General features: G+C 41.3%; 1 long non-coding RNA gene across 1 annotated transcript in view, besides 2 other annotated features; it reads left to right on the forward strand.

Annotated features, from left to right (window-relative positions):
* DUBR (DPPA2 upstream binding RNA) overlaps nt 1-21,815 on the forward strand; it is an 86,273-nt gene that overhangs the window by 60,557 nt on the left and 3,901 nt on the right. The window lies entirely within an intron of this gene.
* Nucleotides 7,295-8,223: an enhancer, noted in NCBI's record as "OCT4-NANOG hESC enhancer chr3:107027390-107028318 (GRCh37/hg19 assembly coordinates)". NCBI's record gives its function as "activates a minimal SCP1, AML or CMV promoter by ChIP-STARR-seq in naive H9 embryonic stem cells {active_cell/tissue: H9 hESC(naive)}" and the evidence as "EXISTENCE:reporter gene assay evidence [ECO:0000049][PMID:30033119]".
* Nucleotides 14,847-15,347: an enhancer, noted in NCBI's record as "H3K27ac hESC enhancer chr3:107034942-107035442 (GRCh37/hg19 assembly coordinates)". NCBI's record gives its function as "activates a minimal SCP1, AML or CMV promoter by ChIP-STARR-seq in primed H9 embryonic stem cells {active_cell/tissue: H9 hESC(primed)}" and the evidence as "EXISTENCE:reporter gene assay evidence [ECO:0000049][PMID:30033119]".

Raw genomic sequence — 21,815 nt, forward strand, 5'->3', positions numbered from 1 at the left:
ATGTGAGTAAACTGAGGTCTGCCTTCAGGAGAGTTCTTAGTATCACCCCGCCTCCATTTTGACCTGCAGACTTCCCTTCTACGAAAAAAAGACATTTAGATAATTTAATTCAAAAATGCTGAACTTTGGTTTACATCTTAAATCAACCCCTGAAAGAACATTTCAGACTGCTTTCTTCTTCATTTCACACTTTCCATGAGACTTGACAAGTAGGCAGGATTCTACAGACAATGGCAACATTGCTACAGCTGTAGAACTTCTCACCTAAGAGGTTCACAGGTGTGGTGATGGTTCAAAACAGAAGTCTTTCGAGGTAGGATGTGTGCTGACTTAGGGAAAGAATGCTGTACCTGCATTATTACAGACCTCTTTTGGATCTTTAATGTTGCTAAAATTATCTGGGTGGCAAACATAAAAATAGTGAAATTATGTAATTTGGCTAATACTCTCTATCTGCTTGTGTGGCCTCTTCACATTGGGGATAAAATGTTGTCACTCTTGGCTTCTGCCTTAAAAGTGACTACAAGTTCATATCATAATATTTCTCATAGAAATTATCTATGTTGGGCCGGGCACGGTGGCTCACGCCTGTATTCCCAGAACTTTGGGAGGCCGAGGCAGGAGGATCATGAGGTCAGGAGTTCAAGACCAGCCTGGCCAACATAGTGAAACCCTGTCTCTACTAAAAACACAAAAATTAGCCAGACATGGTGGCACGTACCTGTAATCCCAGCTACTCGGGAGGCTGAGGCAGGAGAATCGCTTGAACCTGGGAGGTGGAGTTTGCAGTGAGCCAAGATTGTGCCACTACACTCCAGCTTGGGCAACAGAGTGAGACTTCGTCTCAAAAAAAAAAAAAAAAGAAAGAAATTATATAAATTATATTGCCACTCTCAAATGTGTGCTCTCCAGAGTCTTAAAATCTGCTATGCAGTAGTTGTTCCATAAAATGATCCAAACATGATCTTCCAACAAAATGAACAATTAAAAAAATCTGTTATTAATAATGGATGGGGTGACTATCATCAGAAACCCTTCATATAACCACAACATATCAAACAGTGATATAAATCTGGATTGATCATGTCCCTAGTTGATAATCTTCTATTCTGTAGCTTAGGCTGGAGAAAAATGAAAAAGACTCCTGAGAACTGAAACCAACATAGTTCCGAGGCCTTACATTAAACACTACTGGGACTGGGCATACTTTCCTATTCTTATGTGAAACCATACTGAGGCAAGTAAAAATAACGACTTCATCTTACTCTAGGAAATACTCATCATCAAGACAATAAAACTGTGAACCAACTTAACAGCTTATTTAGCAAGACTAACAATTTGTTTATCAAGACTCTCTTCAAGTACCTCATCTTGCTGTGCTTATCAAGCCAAAGTTACCATATCATAAACTCTGCCCAATACCAAGTTACCTACTTTTCATGACTCAGCTTGAAATCTGCCCTATAAATACCTAAATACCTATAAATACCTATAACTACCCCCTATAAATACCTATAAATACCCCCATTTTGAGAAGCTATAAATACTTTATCAAATTGGTGTCCTCTCTCACTACTGTAAGTCTAATAAATTCAGTCTTGGTTGATCGATAGTCTTTTCTGGTGGTTTACTGGGGGTGGGGAGAGTAGAGAGTTAACACTGCTAAACTTTTCATCAATCTTTTCTTACCCTGAGTTGCAAAATGGGCCTCTTGTCCTCAGAGTATCTTACCTGATTGGTTTTCTATAAATTAAATACCTGTTTCTTTTGGCTTTTCAAAAGTGTATAAAGGCTTTCATTCCTCACCTTCACTGAGCCTGACTTGTGTAGGTCATCCCCAAACCATGAAGTCTACAGAGGAATACAGATAAATCTTGGTGATGGTAGAAGAGTGAGAAGATTATTTATTGCCCCACTCCTCTGCCAAACCTATTTTGTGAAAATTGCCTTCATACACAAATATAGAAGTGTATTCCCTGACTATCTAACAAGGAGAAATCTCCCAACCACTTTTTTGGTCGCATATGTAACAGGCTTTGCTTCCTGGGAGTCAGTTATTTTATGTTTCTCAACCGATTTAATAGTCTCAAATTCTCAGTCAAACTACCTTACCTTGTCTTTCTCTCTATTCACCCTCGCATTTGTTCAAGAAATTTTTAGGAGTTTTGGTTTCCTGTCCCCATCACCTTTCAAACGCAGCATAGGAGAGCATGAATTGTTTCAACTGTTTGTTGTTCTCTTCTTATATATTTACAAACTATCCTGAAGCCTAAGTTGCCCACACTTATGCAATCAGGTCAAAACTTTTCTCCAGAAAGTTTGTAAGAAGGGATATTTGCACATGATAATACTCTTCTCCCCTCCTTGTAGAATTGCTTCATAGCCATGGGGCCTAAGTCTGTTGGACTGCGAGCTAATTAGCGTCAATTAACTAAATAATATTATCAGCTGAACAGCACACTTTCGTGTCTCTCAGAAAGATTAACTTATGAACTAACCTCATTTTACTTTATTTTCTCTAGAGAAAACTAATCAGTGCCCAGTTTCTTTCTTCTAGGGATGAAGGAAGGAAGGGGAAGGTAAGAGGTCCCTGTTCTCTCTGAGGGTTTTGTGAAGCCCTGCAAGGCAAAGTCAACTACTATTGACTATCTGCTACCTTCAGGCACACATTTAATCCTTAAAGAGTGGCTTTCTTTTGTTGGGAGAAGCAATTTTGAGAATAATTTGTTAGGTCCTTCTATCAGGGTCGTAGTTTTCACTGAGAAATGACTGGCATACAAGCAACTCAATGCACATTGTTAAATGTGTGCTCTTTCCTTATAATATGTGGCAAAATTTTAATGGTACAATAATTTGGTCAAAATTTTGATTATATAATCACTTAATTATGTAATTATTCATTGTCAATCTTCCTCCACTAGAATATATTTTCCAGGACATCAGGAACCATGTTTGTACATAGAAGATAGCTCCTTGGCATATAATTGGTGCTCTTTCTCTCATAGTAGGCATTTCTTGCAACATAGAAAGACCTCAGTGAAGACCTGGAGTGAATGAATAAAAGAAGCTGCACAAGTACAAAGGAAACCAGTCATTTATACACAGTCTTGCTAAATTATGCCTGCCATTGAGGTTCTTACCAAAATGCAGTGCAATGAGGAAAATAAGTAGAATGGGGTAAACTTTCATAATATTATGTGGCTAATATTGCATTTTATTCCACTCTTTTGGTATTAAAAAGCCCTGCACAGCCTATAATAAAATGGTGGTATTTGTAGAGGATAGTTTTCCATTTTGTGATTTTTAAGTGGACATTACTTGGAAAATTCAAAATGGCATCCAACTTTATTTTATTTTAATAATTTTTATTCTTTATGAAATCTGAAAGTCTGAGAACCACTGATCTAAATCATGTCAAAGTATAATTTTCAAAAAATTAAAAACATGGCTCTTATATGGGTATATAGTATACAGATGTCAAAGATGTTTTGAACTCACTAATGAATCAGCAGGGATGGTAAGCCTGTTTCAAAAAAGGATATGAGAAATTAAAAAGAGAGTTACTAAAGGAAGAAACCTGAAATAAGATTGCTAATTTAGGTACAGGGTAATGAAATCATAACCCTCAGAGGTTATTTTTTCTATAGGACAAAAATCATTTGAATCACCACCAAAAAAAAAAAAAGGTAATTTGCAATTTATCCATTTTCTCCAAGTTGACTGTACTTTATAGAATCTGGGCCGTAACCAAAAGTAAATAGTAAATCAAACAAATTACTTTTGCTTAGTGTGATAGACGTCTCAGACCAGCTTGTTACCTAGTCTTCGGTATGAGTTTGAAAGGTCACACAGTTATCTTTCTGCTTTATTTCCAAATTTTAGACAATGTTCTTTTTTTTTTTTTGAGACAGAGTCTCACTCTGTCATCAAGGCTGGAGTGCAGTGGCGTGATCTTGGCTCACTGCAACCTCCTCCTCCTGGGTTCAAGCAATTCTCCTGCCTCAGCTTCCCGAGTAGCTGAGATTACAGGTGCCTCCCACCACACCAGGCTAATTTGTGTATTTTTAGCAGAGATGGGGTTTCACCATGTTGGCCAGGCTGGTCTTGATCTCCTCACCTCAAGTGATCTGCCCACCTCGGCCTCCCAAAGTGCTGGGGATTACAGGCGTGAGCTACCTTGCCCGGCCATGGACAATGTTCTTAAGAGGAACCTGCCTCTAATATTTAGATGGAGATTACATATATGTATGTATGTGTATAAGTAAACTTTGGTCTCTATAGATATGAAACTGAAAGGAGAGAAACCAAAAAATTAACGGTTGTTATTACTTGGAAATGGCATAAAGAGTGTTACAGTTTTCCAGAGCTGCCATAACAAAATACTCAGAGTGGCTTAAATAACAGAAATTTACAGTCTCACAGTTCTGGAGCTAGAAGCTCGAGATCGAGGTGTTGGCAGGGCCTTGCTCCCTCTGATGGCCCCAGGGGAGGGACGGGAGTGTTTGTGCCAGGACTCCTAGCGTGTGGTGGGTGCTTGGCTTGTGCCGGCACAACTCGTGTTCACATGGGATTCCCCTGTGTGTCTGTGTCCAAATGTCCACTTTTCATAAAGAAACCCATCAGATTAGATTGGGGACCCATCCTAGTCCAGTATGACCTCATCTTAACTAATTACATTCGCAACAACCCTGTATCTAGATAAGGTCACATTTTGAGGTATTGAAGGTTAGAATTTCAATATATGAATGGCGGGGAGGGCAGGACTCATAATCATGGGTAAGTTTTTCTGAGACTTTTCTTCACTTTCTAAGTGTTAAGAAATAATACCAACACCCATTTCCCAAAATACTCAAGAACTGTTTTAGATGTCTGTATTATTAGTTTCCTTGGGGCTGCTGTAACAAATTACCACAAACCGAATGGCTTAAAACAACAAAGATGGCCGGGCGCAGTGGCTCACACCCATAATCCCAGGACTTTGGGAGGCTGAGGCAGGCGTATCGCTTGAAGTAAGGAGTTTGAGACTAGCCTGGGCAACCTGGCGAAATCCCGCCTCCACAAAAAATACAAAAATTAGCCAAGTGTGGTGACAGGTGCCTATAGTTCTATCTACTCAGCAGGCTGAGGTGGGAGGACCACCTGAGCTTGGGAGGTCGAGGCTGCAGTAAGCTGTGAATGTGTCACCATACTCCAGCCTGGGTCATAGTGAGACCCTGACTCAATAAAATAAAATAAAATAAAATAAAATAAAATAAAATAAAATAAAATAAATAATGAAAATAAATAAAACAAAAATGCATTCTCATATTTTGGGACGCTAGAAGCCCCAAATCAAGGTGCCAGCAGGCCTGTGCTCGCTCTGAAGGCTCTAGGGAAGAATCTTCCCTCCTTTTTTTTTTTTTTTTTGAGATGGAGTCTCGCTCTGTTGCCAGGCTGGATTCAGTGGTGTGATCTCGGCTCACTGCAACCTCCGCCTCCCGAGTTCAAGCGATTCTCCTGCCTGCCTCAGCCTCCCGAGTAGCTAGGACTACAGGCGTTCACCACCACGCCCAGCTAATTGTTGTATTTTTAGTAGAGACAGGTTTCGCCATGTTGGCCAGGATGGTCTCGATCTCTTGACCTAGTGATCCGCCTGCCTCAGCCTCCCAAAGTACTGGGATTACAGGCGTGAGCCACCACACCCGGCCAGAATCTTTTCTCCTCTCTCAAGGGAGAAGCTCCCCTTGGCCCTCTAAAGTTTCTCTGAAAAATCAGCTCACCAAAGTCAGATTAATTGGAGAAAAGGCATACAAATTTATTTAACGTGTATACATAGGAGCCTCCAGAATGAAGACTTAAAGAACAGGGGAAATTGTCCATTTTTATGCTTAAGTTCAACAAAGTACGGACAGCCGTGTAGAAATGTGATTGGAAAAGAAGGGTGCGATCCAATGCTAATAGACCAAACCGGGGAAGCCAACAAGGCCTGTCTGTCTAGATTCCTCTCGGCCTCTCTGAGCATGCATCCTTACCTTCTGGGTGTGGGGCAAGGCTCTCTCTGGCATAGGGGTATTATGACCCACAGTCAAATAAGGCAGATAAAAATTTCTTTATGGCCACTTTTGACACCAAAAGGCAGAGGGAAAGTGAGAGTACTCTTTTTAGGTTTTATGGTTTTGGGGAAGAGGGATTCTAGTTTCTATGGTTAACCTCAGGGGAGAATTGGACTGAGAAACAGGAGGGCAGAAGGTCAGAGAAAAACTTTTGCTTCTGAGGCCTTCATTTTAGGGTATTGTTTTCTGAGCCCCAACACCACAATTCTTGGCATTCGTTGGCTTGTACCTTTATCACTCCAATCTCTGCCTCAGTCTTCACATTTAATTTTTTTTCTCGCTTTTTTCCCCACTTACTTTCTTAGTGGTTCTTCTAGGGCTTACCATAAACATATAAGTTATCAGAATCAAGTTTAGAGTTATACAAATTTATTTTCTTTATTTATTATTATTATTATCTTGAGACAGAGTCTCATTCTGTCACCCAGGCTGGAGTGCAGTGGCACAATCTCAGCTCACTGCAACCTACACCTCCTGGGTTCAAGCGATTCTCCTGTCTCAGCCTCCCGAGTAGCTGGGATAACGTACCCACCACCACGCCCAGCTAATTTATGTATTTTTAGTAGAGACAGGGTTTTGCCATGCTGGCCAGGCTGGTCTTGAATCCCCGACCTCAGGTGATCTGCCCGCGTTGGCCTCCCAAGGTGTTGGGATTACAGGCGTGAGCCACTGTGCCCAGCCTAAACAAATTAAATTCCAGTGAAATATAGAAATATTATTCCTATATAGGCCCACTCTCACTTCCTCGTTATTGAGCTATTGTTGTTATATTACAATATGTTTCAAACCTGTTACTATTTTGTTATAATTATTATTTTATATACTTTTCTGTCCATGAAAGAGGCTGAGAAAAAAAAAGCAAGTATATATTTATTTATACAATTTGTTATATTGATCTTATTTATCATTTCTGGTTCTCTTCACTTGTTCCTGCGCATTCAAGTTACCATCTGGTGTCTCTTCTTTACTCCAATACATCTTTGCTCTCACCCACCTTCTTTATGCTGTTATTGGCAAATATATTGCATTTCTATGTGTTATAGGTCCAACAATACAATTTGTATGTATATTTTTACATAATTGCATTTAAATCAGATAAAAGAAATGCGTGTATACTGTATTTTATAATTGCTTCGTTACCTTTACCAGTGTTGTTTTGTCACATGGATCCGTATTATTGTCTTGGGTCACAGGCAGTTTCTCTCGTCTGCTTTTTCTTCCTTTGTATGGGTCACATTTCCCTGTTTCTTATCATGTCTCATTCTTTCTTGTTGTTGAAAACTGGACATTTGGGCAATATATTGCAGAAACTGGATACTGGTTCCCCTCTCCCCGCTCTGGAGCTTGTTTTTCTTGTTGCCTGCTTGTTTATTTTTTTAATGGCTTAGATAGATAATTTTAGTGAAGTCTATTTCCCCTACAGTGTGAAACCTCTGATGTTGCTTTTCAGAGGGCATAGCTTTGGGCATGCACGCAGTCACCCTGATTTGACAGTGATTTCAGTGAAACTTTCTTTGACTGTCCCGATCTCTCTGTTAAGCTGTCTGCCTCCTTTGGTATCACACTGAGCTGTTAGGCTCCACTAACTGCTTGCTGATTGCTGTATTGACTGCTGGCTGATTGATCTCTTGTTTTTGGCAATGCCCTTGGGCATAAATTGTTCCACAGTCTGATCTAATTGAATTTGGACCACTTTTCAGGGATAGAATATTTTGGAGGACAGTTTTTGAGATTTGTTCCCCTGGAGAGCTCCTCTTAACTGTCTCTTGCCAGCTGTCTCTGTTAAATTAGCTGGCCTGTGGTTTTGGTTGTTACTCCCATAGATGTACCAACCTCCTCTTAACTGCTTTCCGCCAACATCTCCATTGTTTTTGAGAGTACCCTTAGGCTTGAACTTTACCATACTCGGTTTCAAATAAAATCAGTCCCTGTGGGGAGAGTTTTGGAGCTCTCTGTTCCTATAGATTGCCTCCCCACCTGGGGAAAAAAAAAATCTCTGAGCAGACTGGTCTGAGTACTGAGCAGGAGCAGTAGCCTCTGGTCTTCCCAGATTGCTTCTCCTGGCATGGCTCTTCCACTCCAGTAGTGAGCTGTGGCAAAAGTTACCAGGGCCCCAGTACTCTTAGCCTGCCATGTCTGGGTAGAGGCTCCTTCCTATGAATTGCAACTGGGTAAATGCAGGGCACCACGACCACAACCACACTCACCAGGGATTTAGCTTCTGCCACTCAGAGTTGGAGTATGACAGAGGCTAAAAGCCTGTGCCTCCCTGTGAAATGCTGTATCCTTGGCTATGAGTTTAGGAAAGGCATCCATTATATTGGCTACCCCTACCTGGAATGGAATTTCAATCAAGTTGCACTGAAGAGAGAGTCATGGATCAAGTACCACAAAGTCTTGCTATTCTTACCTGACTTTAGTAGATTTTCTTAAATAAGTATTTCTTCATCTGCTGTGTGCCCTTATAACAAGTTCCAGAGACTTGAAATGGTTGAGGTTTTTTAAAAAATAATTGTTACTAGTTATGCTTGTTTTGTTGGGGAGCAGGTCCACAAAACTCTTCACTACCGCCATTCCTGATATTTGTTCATCTTAAGAAGTGTGGTCATTCGTTTTCAATTGTAAACTTGAACTCACACATGGTAGTTGTTAAAATTAGGAACAATGTTTTACTAATGTTGAGTTTTTATGACATTTTGCAATAGGAAATACTTAAGGAAAGGACAAAATGACATTTCAGACTTAATTTTTTTCTCACAACATAAGGGAGAGGGCTAATATTCAATAGAATGTGGTTAGAGAAAAATGTCTCAGAAGATTCTATGTGTTTATAGTCTCATAAAAATGTTTGAAAACCTATGTTTAAAATCAAAAGCAGACATCTGTTGGGAGGCAGCTGAAAGTGGGTATTAGTGCAACGTAGGTGCAAAACCAAATTTACCTGTGTAAGTCAATCTAACTATAAGGGCTGATTTAATTATAATACCTCGTTTAATATTCTTTAATACCGGTAACGGCCAAGTCAGTTAATTAAGATTCTGCATCAGAGTAGAAGGTAGTGGTTAAAATGAGTATATAGCCCATGCCGTTTGTCAGTTTTCTTAGTGCGTTAGAAGCGGTTGCAACTTCAGAAAACTAAAAAATCTTATTTTAACTTTTATTTTAGGTTTGACGGTACTTGTGCACGTTTGTTATATAAGTACATTCATGTCATGGGGGTTTGTTGTTCATATTATTTCAACACCCAGGTATTAAGCCTAGTTCCCAATAATTGTTTTTCCTGATTCTCTCCCTCCTCCCACCCTCCACCCTCACGTAGGCCCCAGTATCTGCTGTTCATTTCTTTGTGTCCATGAGCTCTCATCATTTAGCTCCCACTTATAAGTGAGATCACATGGTATTTGTTCTTCTGTTCTTGCATTAGTTTGCTAAGGATAATGGCCTCCAGCTCCATCCATATTCCCACAAAGGACATGATCTCGTTGCTTTTAATGGCTGCTTAGAAATATATGTGTATATATACCACATTTTCTTTATCCAGTCTGTCATTGATGGGCATTTAGGTTGATTCCATGTCTTTGCTATTGTAAACAGTGCTGCAATGAACATTCATGTGCATGTAACTTTATGGTAGAAAGATTCATATTCCTCTGGGTATATACCCGGTAATGGAATTGCTGGGTCAAATGGTAGTTCTGCTTTTAGCTCTTTGAGGAATCTCCAGGCTGCTTTCCATAATGGTTGAACTAATTTACACTTTCACCAACAGTGTATAAGTGTTCCCTTTTCTTGGCAACCTTGCCAACATCTGTTATTTTTTGACTTTTAGTAATAGTCATTCTGACTGGTGTGAGATGGTATCTCATTGTGGTTTTGATTTGCATTTCTCTAATAATCACCGATATTGAGCTTTTTTTCATATATCTATTGGCCACATGTATGTCTTCTTTGGAAAAATGTCTGTATATGTCCTTTGCCCACTTTATAATGGGGTTGTTTGTTTGTTTCTTGTAAATTTAAGTTCCTTATAGATGCTGGATATTAGACCTTTATCAGATGCATAGTTTGCAAACATTTTCTCCCATTCTGTAGGTTGTCTGTTTACTCTGTCGATAGTTTCTTTCACTGTGCAGAAGCTCTTAAGTTTAATTAGATCCCATTTGTCAATTTTTGCTTCTGTTTTGATAGCTTTTGGTGTCTTCATCATGAAATCTTTGCCCATTCCCTTGTCCGGGATAGTATTGCCTAGGTTGTCTTCCAGGGTTTTTATAGTTTTGGGTTTTACATTTAAGTCTTTAATCCATCTTGAATTGATTTGTGTAAAGGGTTTAAGAAAGGGGTTCAGTTTCGATCTTCTTCATATGGCTAGCCAGTTATCCCAGCACCATTTATTGAATAGAGAGTCTTTTTCCCATTGCTTATTTTTGTCAGCGTCGTCAAAGATCTGATGGTTGTAGATGTTCATCCTTATTCCTGGGCTCTCTATTCTGTTCCATTGGTCTATGTGTCTGTTTTTGTACCAGAACCATGCTATTTTGGTTACTGTAGCCCTGTAGTATAGTTTGAAGTTGGGTAATGTGATGCCTCCAGCTTTGTTCTTCTTGCTTAGGATTGCTTTGGCTATTTGGGCTCTTTTTTGGTTCCATATAAATTTTAAAATAGTGTTTTTCTAGTTTCGAAAAGAATGTCATTGGTAGTTTGATAGGAATAGCATTGAATCTATAAATTGCTTTGGGCTGTATGATCATTTTAATGATATTGATTCTTCCTATCCATGAGCATGGGATGTGTTTACATTTGTTTGTGACTTCTCTGATTTCTTTGAGCAGTGTTTTGTAATTCTCCTTGTAGAGATCTTTCACCTCCCTGGTTAGCTGTATTCCTAGGTATTTTATTGTTTTTGTGGCAATTGTGAATGGGATTGCCTTTCTGATTTGGCTCTCAGCTTGGCTGTTGTTGGTGTATAGGAATGCTGATGATTTTTGCACATTGATTTTGCACGCTAAAATTTTGCTGAAGTTGTTTATCAGCTGAAGGAGCTTTGGGGCCAAGACTACGGGGTTTTCTAGATACAGGATCATGTAATCTGTAAACAGGGACAGTAGTTTGACTTCCTCTCTTCCTATTTGGATGCCCTTTATTTCTTTCTCTTGACTGATTCTTTGGCCAGGACTTCCAACACTTTGTTGAATAGGAGTGGTAAGAAAGGGCATCCTTGTCTGTGCTGATTTTTGAGGAGAATGCTTCCAGCTTTTGTCCATTCAGTATGATGTTGGCTGTGAATTTTTCATAGAGATGGCTCTTATGATTTTGAGATGTATTCCTTCAATACCTACTTTATTGAGAATTTTAACATGAAGGATGTTGAATTATATTAAAAGCCTTTTCTGCATCTATTGAGATAATCATGTAGTTTTTGTCTTTAGTTCTGTTTATGTGAATCACATTTATTGATTTGTGTATCTTGAACCAACCCTGCATCCCAGAGATGAAGCTTACTGGATTGTGGCAGATTAGCTTTTTGATGTGCTGCTGGATTTGGTTTGCAAGTATTTTGTTGAGGATTTTTGCACCACTGTTCATCAAGGATATTGGCCTGAAGTTTTCTTTTTTTTGTTGTGTCTCTGACAGGTTTTGGTATCAGGATGATGCTGGCCTCATAGAATGAAATGGGGAGGAGTCCTTCCTCCTCAAGTTTTTGCAATAGTTTCAACAGGAATGGTACCAGCTCTTCTTTGTACATCTGGTAGAATTTAGCTGTGAATTCATTTGGTCCTGGGCTTTTTTGGTTGGTAGGCTATTTATACTGATTCAATTCTGTAGCTCATTGTTGGTCTGTTCAGGGAGTCAATTTATTCCTAGTTCAGTTTTGGGAGGGTGTATGTGTCCAGGAATTTATCCATCTCTTCTAGACGTGTTCATAGCAGTTTCTGATGGTTGTTTTTATTTCTGTGGGGTCAATAGACATATTCCCTTTATCATTTCTAATTGTGTTTATTTGGATCTTTTCTTTTTAATTAGTCTAGCTAGTGGCCTATTTTATTAATTAAAAACTCATGGATTCATTGATCTTTTGAATGGTTTTTCATGTCTCAATTTCCTTTGGTTCAGCTCTGAATTTTGTTATTTCTCATCTTCTGCTAGTTTTGGGGTTGATTTGTTCTGCTTCTCTAATTCTTTCTCTTTTTTTCTTTCTTTTTTTTTTTTTTAGATGGAGTCTCGCTCTGTTGCCAGGCTGGTGTGCAGTGGTGCAATCTTGGCTCACTGCAACCTCCGTGTCCCAGGTTCAAGTGATTCTCCTGCCTCAGCCTCCTGAGTAGCTGGGACTACAGGTGCATGCCACCACACCCAGCTAATTTTTGTATTTTTAGTAGAGATGGGTTTTCACCATGTTGTCCAGAATGGTCTCTATCTCTTGACCTCATGATCCGCCTGCCTCAGCCTCCCAAAGTGCTGGGTGCTTTTCTAATTCTTTCAGTTGTGAAGTCAGGTTGTTAATTTGAGATCTTTCTAACTTTTTGACATAGAGGTTTAGTGCTGTGAATTTCTCTTTTAACACTACCTTGGCTGTGTTCCAGAGATTCTGGTACGTTTTATCTTTGTTCTCATTCGTTTCCAAGAACTTCCTGATTTCTGCCTTAATTTTATTATTTATTCAAAAGTCATTCAGGAACATGTTTGATTTCCATGTAATTGCATGGTTTTGAGTGATTTTTTTAGTTTTGACTTCTATTTTTATTGTGCTGTGGACCAAGAATGTGTTTGGTATGATTTCACTTCTTTTGCATTTGCTGAGGATTGTTTTATATCCAATTATATGGTTGATTTTAGATTATGTGCCATGCGGTAATGAGAAGAATGTATATCTGTTTCTGTTGGGGGTAGAGGTGAAGAGTTCTGTAGAGGTCTATCAGATCCATTTGGTCCAATGTTGAGTTTAGGTCCTGAATATCTTTGTTAATTTCCTGCCTTGATGACCTGTCCAGCATTTTCAATGGAGTGTTAAAATCTCCCATTATTGTGTGGGAGTCTGTTTCTTTGTAGGTCTCTAAAAACTAGCTTTATGAATCTGGGTGCTCTCATGTTGGGTGCATATATATTTAAAACCATTAGGTCTTCTTGTTGAATTGAACTCTTAACCATTATGTAATGTCCTTCTTCATCTTTTTTGATTTTTGTTGGTTTAAAGTCTGTTTTGTCTGAAATTAGGATTGCAACCTCTGCTTTTTTTCTGATTTCCAGTTGCTTGGTAGATTTTCCTCCGTCCCTTTCTTTTGAGTCTACGCTTGTCATCACATGTGGGATGGGTCTCTTAAAGACAGCACACCACTGGGTCTTGCTTTTATATCCAGCTTTCCACTTTGTGCCTTTTAAGTGGGGCATTTAGCTCACTTATATTCAAGGTTAGTATTTATACGTGTGGATTTTATCCTGTCATTGCGTTGTTAGCTGGTTATTATGCTGGCTTGTTTGTGTGGTTGCTATATAGTGTCACTGGTCTGTGTATTTAAGTGTACTTTTGTATTAGCTGATAGCAGTCTTTTCTTTCTATATTTAGTGCTCCTTTCAAGATCTCTTATAAGGGAAGCCTAGTGATAATGAACTCCCTCAACATTTGCTTATCTGAAAAGGATCTTATTTCTCTTTCACTTAGGAAGCTGAGTCTGGCTGGATATGAAATTCATGGTTGAACGTTTTTTGTCTTTAAGAATATTGAATATAGGCCTCTCATCTTTTCTGGCTTGTAGGGTTTCAGCTGAGAGGCCCACTTTTAGCCTGAAGGGGTTCACTTTGTAGGTGACCTGCCCTTTCTCTCTAGCTGCCTTTAACATTCTTTCTTTCATTTCAGCCTCGGAAAATCTGATGACTACGTGTCTTGGGGATGATCTTCTTATGTAGAATCTTGCAGAGGTTCTCTGTATTTCCTGACTTTCACTTCTCCAGCTTCTCTAGCAAGGTTGGGAAAGTTTTCACGGACAATATCCTGAAATATGTTTCCCAAGTTGGTTGCTTTCTCCTTATCCCCTTCAGGGAGGCGAATGATTCATAGATTTGGCCTCTTTACATAATCCCATACTTCTCAGAGGTTTTGCTCATTTCTTTTCATTACTTTTTCTTTATTTTTGTCTGACTCTCTTATTTCAGAGAGCCAGCCTTCAGGTTCTGAGATTCTTTCCTCAGCTTGGTTTATTCTGCTGTTAATACTTGTGATTGCATTGTGAAAATCCTGTATTGTGTTATTCAGCTCCATCAGAACCATTAGGTTCCTTTTCATACCAGCTATTTCATCTTTCAGTTCCTGTATAATTTTATTGTGATTCTTAATTTCTTTGAGTTGGGTTTTTTCATTCTCCTGAATCTCGATTATCTTCATTCCTATTCATATTCTGAATTCTTTCTGTCACTTGAGCCAGCTCAGCCTGGTTAAGAACCCTTGTTGGAGAACTGGTGCAGTTCTCCAACTTTGGAGTTTGGAGGACATATGACACTCTGGCCATTTGAGTTACTGGAGTTCTTGTGTTGGTTCTTTCTCATCTCTGGGTGTGAGTGTTCCTTTAACTGCAGTATAGATTGAGTACAGTCAATAAACTTCTTGCTGGATGTTTTCACAGGGCCAAGGCTTTATGCAGGGTCTTTATTTGCAGCAGACTTCTTGTGTCTGGTTTCACAAGAGGGTATGTTAGCAAGGTATTTTTGGTGTTGAAGCTTTGGGGTGTGATTCAGTAGGTGGTGCTTAGGCGTATTGGTCACTTGGTAGGCTCTTGCTTGGTCACGTGGCTCCTCTATATTTCCTCACAGTTGCAGCCATGCTCCCTCTCAATGCTCTGAAAGTGTGGGCTCCTCTACCACTTGAATGCTGGCTGTAGATTGAGGCTTCGCACTTTTGGGCTGCCCACCATAGCTCTGGGGCAATCTCAGGGTTTATTTTCCTTCCCCAACTTGGAGGCAGTACAGGAAGGAACCTTAGTAGTCACTGTGGTCAAGGGTCTTTTGCTTGTCTCCTGGAGGCTCCACCCCAGAGGGATGCAGTTCGGCAATCACTCAGTGTAATCATCCCAGGATGGAGGGTCTGTGCTGTGGGTCCAAGCTGGGGTTCCCTGTCTGGTGACAAGTAGGGTGGAGGGGGGTGTGTGGGACCCATGGGAGATGCGCTGGCCTTCTCTCCTTGGGTTGACAGCAGTTTGGTTTGTTGGAGGTGTGGATAAAGCACTTAGGGTCTTTGCTCCTTTGTTAGTCTGAGGGTGGCAAGGGCAGTTCCACTGCAGAGGCAGTGGCAGAGAGGCTTTTGGTTGCCCCTGGGGGCTCCACCTCTGAGAAACTCAGAGCCACTATTATTGGGAGGTGTTCAGCCAGTGGGGTAGGGTGGCTGCACTGCTGCTGTGAGCTTGGAATTCTGCTTGTTGGGGAGCAGGGGGTTGAAGTCTTACAGGGAGGAGAGGTTGGTGTCCTTTCCATATGGTAGCTGTGGGGTACTGTAAGTTCACGTGTACTCCTCAGGCTCTTTGTTTCTTCCCCAGGCCAAGGGCAGGAGGGATAGAATTGTTACTGTGGCAGTGGCAGAGGGGCTGTTGTATGCCTCTGGGAGGCTCTCCCTGGGGAAACTCTGGGCTACTACCAGTGGGCATGTTCAGCTGTGGGCGGAGCAACTGTTCTGCATTCATGAGCCAGGGCCCCTGCCTGGTGAAGAGTGAGGGTGGTGGTTCCCAGGGAAGAGGGGTCTGGACTTCCCTCCATATGGCGGCTGCGGTGTGCTGGAGGTGCCAGTGTAATGACTAGGCCCTTTGTTCCTTCCCAGTCCAAAGGCTGTAAAGGCTGAGCCACTGCACCTGTAGTGGTGGAGGGGTTGTGGGTTGACTCTGTGATTTCCTCCTTGAAGAAATGCTGGGCTGTCTTTGATTGTGGTGATCAGGCAAGGGTTGGGTGGTTGTGCTGGAGTCCCACGTCAGGCGGCCCTGCCTAATGAGGAGAAGTGAGGACCAGGAACTGCGTGGAGAATAGTCTGGCCACTTTTCTGTAAGGGGATTGCTCTTTGTTGGGGGTCCAGACAAGTCCCCGGTCCCCACAGACTCTCCCGAGCCTGGAGACAGCAAGGGCAAGGGCTGCAAGACAGTGAAGATGGCAACACTCCCTTGTCCCCCGCCACTGTGAGGTCTGTCGAGGCAGTTGCAGAGCTGCTACTGGCTTAATAGCCCCAGCAGGGTGTGGGTAGAGGTCCAGGCCTGGAGGACCTGCACAGTGAGGAGACATGGGAACAGGCCCCCATGTAACAGTCTGGCCACTTTTCCGTAGGTCTGCTACTGGGGGTTTGCTTTAGTCCCTAGTCACCTTGGATTTTCCAGTGCCTGAAGGTATCAACAGTGGAGGGTGCAAAACAGCAAAGATGGTGGCCTGCCCCTCCCTCCGAAAGCCCTGTGCCGGGGAGGTATGGACCTGTTGTCCACCCCAAGGCACCTGTAGAAGGTGGCTGGAGACCCTAGTCGGGAGGTCCCGCCCAGTCAGGAGGAATGGGATCAGGGACCTGCTCAAAACAGTAGTCTGGCCACGTTTTCACAGAGTAGCTGTGCTGTACTGAGGATCTAAAAAATCTTATGTTAGAGATTTATACTTTAATATGAGAATAAAGAAGTATTATGAGATGCTTCCCAATCTGTGTTTTCATTTATTAGTATTCTCTGTGATATGCCAAGTGATAGTTTACAAAATGTGGCACCTATAAATATACTTTAATTACTCATTCAGTTCAATCACTTAGTCAACAAATACTTATTGAGTAAATACTGAGCTGTTGTAAATTCTGGGGATATCAATGTATGAGATAGACAAGGTCTCTGTTCTCTTGGAGCTTATTCTAATTATTGTCTTAAAATAAACAGATAAACGTAGAAATGGGTTGTAGTGGATGGCATAGTGCACTGTTCAGATACCTCTGTCAGGACAAAGGCAGTCACTTGTGAGCTTCTGGGAGTGCTGGCTACTGTTATCTCATAGGTACATCTCTCTTCTGGAATTGCTTTCTGTCAAAGGAACCTACTTCATCCAAGTTTACAAGCTTTCTCCTAGGGTAGCCTGTGCCCAGTGACTGTTTAACGTGAAGTATGAAGATGTGTTCCTCTTGCATCAATTTATAGACAATTTGGAAAAGCTGTTTTAGCTCCAGAGAGCCCCAAAGGATTACCTACGACTTCTGTTATAATTTTATCACTGTAGGATTTTTGTCCCTGTTCAATTGTTTCCTGTACTTAAAGGTGTTGTTTCTGGGGAAGCTCCCCAATAAACATCATACACACAAATCTCCAACACAGATCTGATTCTGGGAAACTCAGCCTAAGCTGGTGGGTACTAGGAAGTAGATTCTAAACAAAACTTTTGAGCTGAATCACCTGTTAAAATGTGAAAAAAGCTAAGGTCAGTGCAAGAATTTAATTATAAGTGTAGTGGAGCCTCAGAGAAGGTTGAACTGTTAACCCCAGCAGCTCTGAAACATTAGTAAAAAGGCTTCATTTAAAAAGTGGGACCCTTGGATTAGGATGGGGACATCTGGGTCAATAACATTTGAAAACCTGTATACCCAAATATAGCTAAACCCTATGGGCCAGCAAACGTGTCTCACTCCTCCCTGTTAAAGGCTAGCCTGCCCCTCTAGCTTGTATCTGATGCAATGATCTATTCTTGAAGAACAACACATCGCACCCTCAGGGTCTACCCTCACCTACCTCCTAGCCACTAGACCCCTAGTTAGGGTCAAATCTTAGGATAACCTGGAAATGATCTGGGTCTACTAGGGAAGGGAAAGGAACTGTACACTGTAAGTGTAAAGGGTTACCCAGCATGAACTGGCAAGAGCCAGGAGAGTATATATAGAACAGGAATGTGATAGCTGGTTTAAGGGATGAAACATAAAAATGAACAAGCGAGTTTTTTTAATACAGGAGTACCTTCCTACAATACAGAATTTAACACCCTCACAAAGACCAAAGGAGATGCTACTAATATCTGCTAGGATAGCTCTTGGAAGCTGGAGGAAATCAACGGCCCACACTACATGCAGTATAAATGCCAGATCTTTTGGGGAGGACAGTGGAGAAAGAAATCAAAAGGCTCAGAGAAGACAGCACGCAAGAGTGAATATACTTCTCAAGGCCTAACAACTCAACAGCCAACTCTGTTCTATGGGAGGACCCAGAGAACACTCCATTTACCAAAGAAATGAGAAATGTGCTGGTGAGAAGGGCATCAGCATCATTGAAAAGCTCAGTTATGGTTCTTCTCCTTGAGTCATGGCTAAGGGCAGGAGATGCTATTAGAAAACCCGGCCCTGAGTGTCAATGGAGATGATATAATCATGAAATAACAGGGTCTAGATGGTAGCATTTCAATGACAGGAGCAAGGTGGGAATAGTTGTTGAAATGAATAGCAAAGTTGGAAGGACAGCCAAGAGGGCCTGATTTGCAGGGCTCTATGGAGATGCCATAAAAAACATGGTATTTAAAGGTGCAGGATAAATGAGCAACCAACAAGACATTGCTATATATAATTATTGACATATATATATAATCAAAGATGATCAAGAGTGCATTAGCAGAAAAATGGGGTCAGTCACTCCAAAAAAAACTCACAATCCTTTCCCTTGTTTCCAGACCTGAGCTAATTCTTAGACCTGAAGCCTATTGATTGAAAGATAAGTTGGGTCCCTATTAAGTAGGATCACAGCAAATATCTGCCATAATGACCCAACCACGACAGTAAAGATTTTAGGGGCCAAGTCTGAGGAGGAAGAATCTAAGGAGTAAAGTTTGAAGTGCACAAGAACATCCATTTAAAAGCAAAGGACACATTACTGCATCTCACCACTTCCAGCACTAGGAAGGAAGCAGAGAGCTTGCTAGGTGTCTCTGGGTTCTGGAGCAGCATTTGCCACAGTTGGAAATACAGCTCTAACCCATTCACCAGGCAAAGAGGAAGGCTCCCAGCTTTGAGTGTGACTTACAGTGGGAAAGCATCTGCAGCAGGTCGACTGCTGTGCAATCAGACTGGCGTCTTGGGCCATATGATCCAGCAGAGTCTAGGTTACTAAAGGTATCTGTGCCGTGAAAAGATAACATGTGGAGTTTAGGGAAGCCACGGTAGAAGAATCATAACATAGAGCTCCTAGAGTTTGCAGCAAGACCATGCCATCTGCAGCAAACAAGTATACACCATTTGAGAAACATGTTGGTGTTTCCTGGTTTACTAGGGCTACTGAACCCTGGTAGTGAAAAGGCTTCTGACCATAGGACATCAAGTGACCGTGGGTGAGAGCTGACCATCATGAGGTGCATCCTGTCAGATTCGTCACATCATGAGATAAGGTGGCACAGCTGCAGTTCATTGTGGGGTGAGAATAGGATCAGTTATAATCAGTTGTGAGCAAGGCCAGAGGGCATTAAAAAATACACTGTACCAGTGTACTGCCCAGATTTCCACATCATTTACCACTATTGCATTAACAACACTTTCCCAGTTCACACCTGTGCCACCTCATAAGTGGAGGTGATCCCTTATGACCAACAATAAAGGGGAAAAACAGCATTGCTTCACTGATGGAGGTGTCGTAAGTGCATGCAAGCTGAAAATGGACTGCTGCTATACCAGAGTCCACTCAAGGGTGAGCCAGGGTGTTAGTTCCCTAGGGTTTCCATAATAAACATCATGAGCCAAGGGGCTTAAAACAACAGAAATTTATTCTCTCACATTTCTGGAAGCTGGAAGTCCTAACTTTAAGATGTTGCAGGGCCACGATCTCTCCAAGGGCTCTAGGGAAGAATGCTTCCTTGTCACTTCTAGCTTCCGGTAGTTGTTGGCAATTCTTGGCCTTCTTTGGCTTGTGGCTGCATAACTCCAATCTCTGCCTCCACCACATGGCCTTATTTCCCTTTGTCTGTGTCTCTAAAATTTCTATTTATAAGAAGCTTTGACACTGGAATTACGGCTACTGTTATCCAGTATGAACTCATATTAATAATTATATCTGCAAAGGCCCTATTTCCAAATAAGATCACATTCTTAGGTACCAAGGGTAAGGATTTCAACATGTCATTGAGGGGACATATTTCAACCCACAGTGCCTTGAAAGACAGAAGTGAGAGAAAAATCCTCCCACTGGGGATAGCTTTAAACAGTGCACTTGGTCATCTACATAGGGTGTAGAAGGAGAAGTGGCTTAAGCCAGGAATATACAGAAACTCATATGCAAGGTGAATGATTTGACTAGTTGGACAGGGGTCTGGAAGATCAGAGACAAAAACATACGGGGAAAAGACATGTGAATGGAGCATGGTAGTGGCTCAACAAGGGTTACAAAGACTCAGCCCCTTCGTCTCATTTTAGCAACAATTTTAAATGGCCATCCTCGTTGCAAATTATAGATATAAAAGAGGATTTGGAGAGAAGAGGACTGATTTGGGATGTTATAGGAGTTCTAGGAGTTCTAGGAGTTCAGCATATAGGGCTCGCTAGCACCCAGCACCTGAATGAGTGCTAGGCATGGTATAAGTACTCAATAAATGTAAAGGTTGAATAAATGACTGCTAAGTTTTGGCTCCTGCTACTGACTACATTGTGGTGCCATTTACTGAACTGGGGAAGATTGAGGGAGAAATTGCTTTGGTGAAGTGACAGAGCAATCAAGACAGTTTTTCCCATGCTGAAGCTTTCTTTCTGCAGGCTTTCTCTTGTGCCTCAAGAGCTGCTGGCCACAAGCATGAACAAACTAAAATATTGGGGATACACCCCTCAACCCATGGAAGGGGTATGGGATAGCTGGTGGATGAATGCCTCCGCCTCTCCCTCCCTACTGGTGGAATAATTCTGAGGCATGGTTCAATTTTCTCAGAGAATCCCCAGTGAGAATGAGCTCCATTTGAACACAGTGGTGGCCAGCTTAACAAAGCCTTTACTGGCTTTCTTCATTACCCCACCTCTCTTTCACTCACTTCCTCACTTGTGTTCCCTGAAATCCCCTTCCAAATAAATGCTCGCCTTGGGCTTTTAGAGGATACACAGACTAAGGCAAACAATAATGATGAGAATGTCAGGCCTTGGGTCTACAGATCATCTTTGTCTAAAGTTCTCTCCCTTGTTGCTCCATCCAAGTTCTTAACATTCTTTAAAACTCAGTTCAAATCTCACTCTTCATGTATCACCTCTAATCTCAAGTGGCCCCTTAGTGCTAAGTAGCAATTGTAATTTCTCTAAGCCATTTTTTTGCCTGCTCCTAGACAACTATTTCATATCTTTACCTCTTTCTCAAAACTTCAGAACTCTATTCAGCCACAAGTTTGGATTGTTATTACTATTTGTTTGTGACTAGAGTCCATTTTGGCTGGAACTGGTTTGAACTGCAACACCATGTTCCTCATCCTCAATTTCTGTTGTTGAATTTACTTCCCCTGTAAATGAGAATTAAGTGGAAATGAGAATTAATCCGAATAGAATTCCTATACCCTCCCAACATAACATCTGCCTCCTTCCTACATCTGGACCCAAAACCCTGCTCTCTCCCCACAACCCCATTAATATAAACGAACTGTCTGTGCTTCTATGCAAAGCCATCTACTTCCCTTGGGCCCTGTACCCCATCCTTTCTCTATTATTCAGGACATCACTCTAGCAATTGTCCCTTTTGTTTCTCCATCATCAAATTTTCCTTCTATACTACATAATTCCCTCTAAATAATAACATT

The sequence above is a fragment of the Homo sapiens genome, chromosome 3 (genome assembly GCF_000001405.40).
Source record: "Homo sapiens chromosome 3, GRCh38.p14 Primary Assembly".
Taxonomy (NCBI): Eukaryota; Metazoa; Chordata; class Mammalia; order Primates; family Hominidae; genus Homo; species Homo sapiens.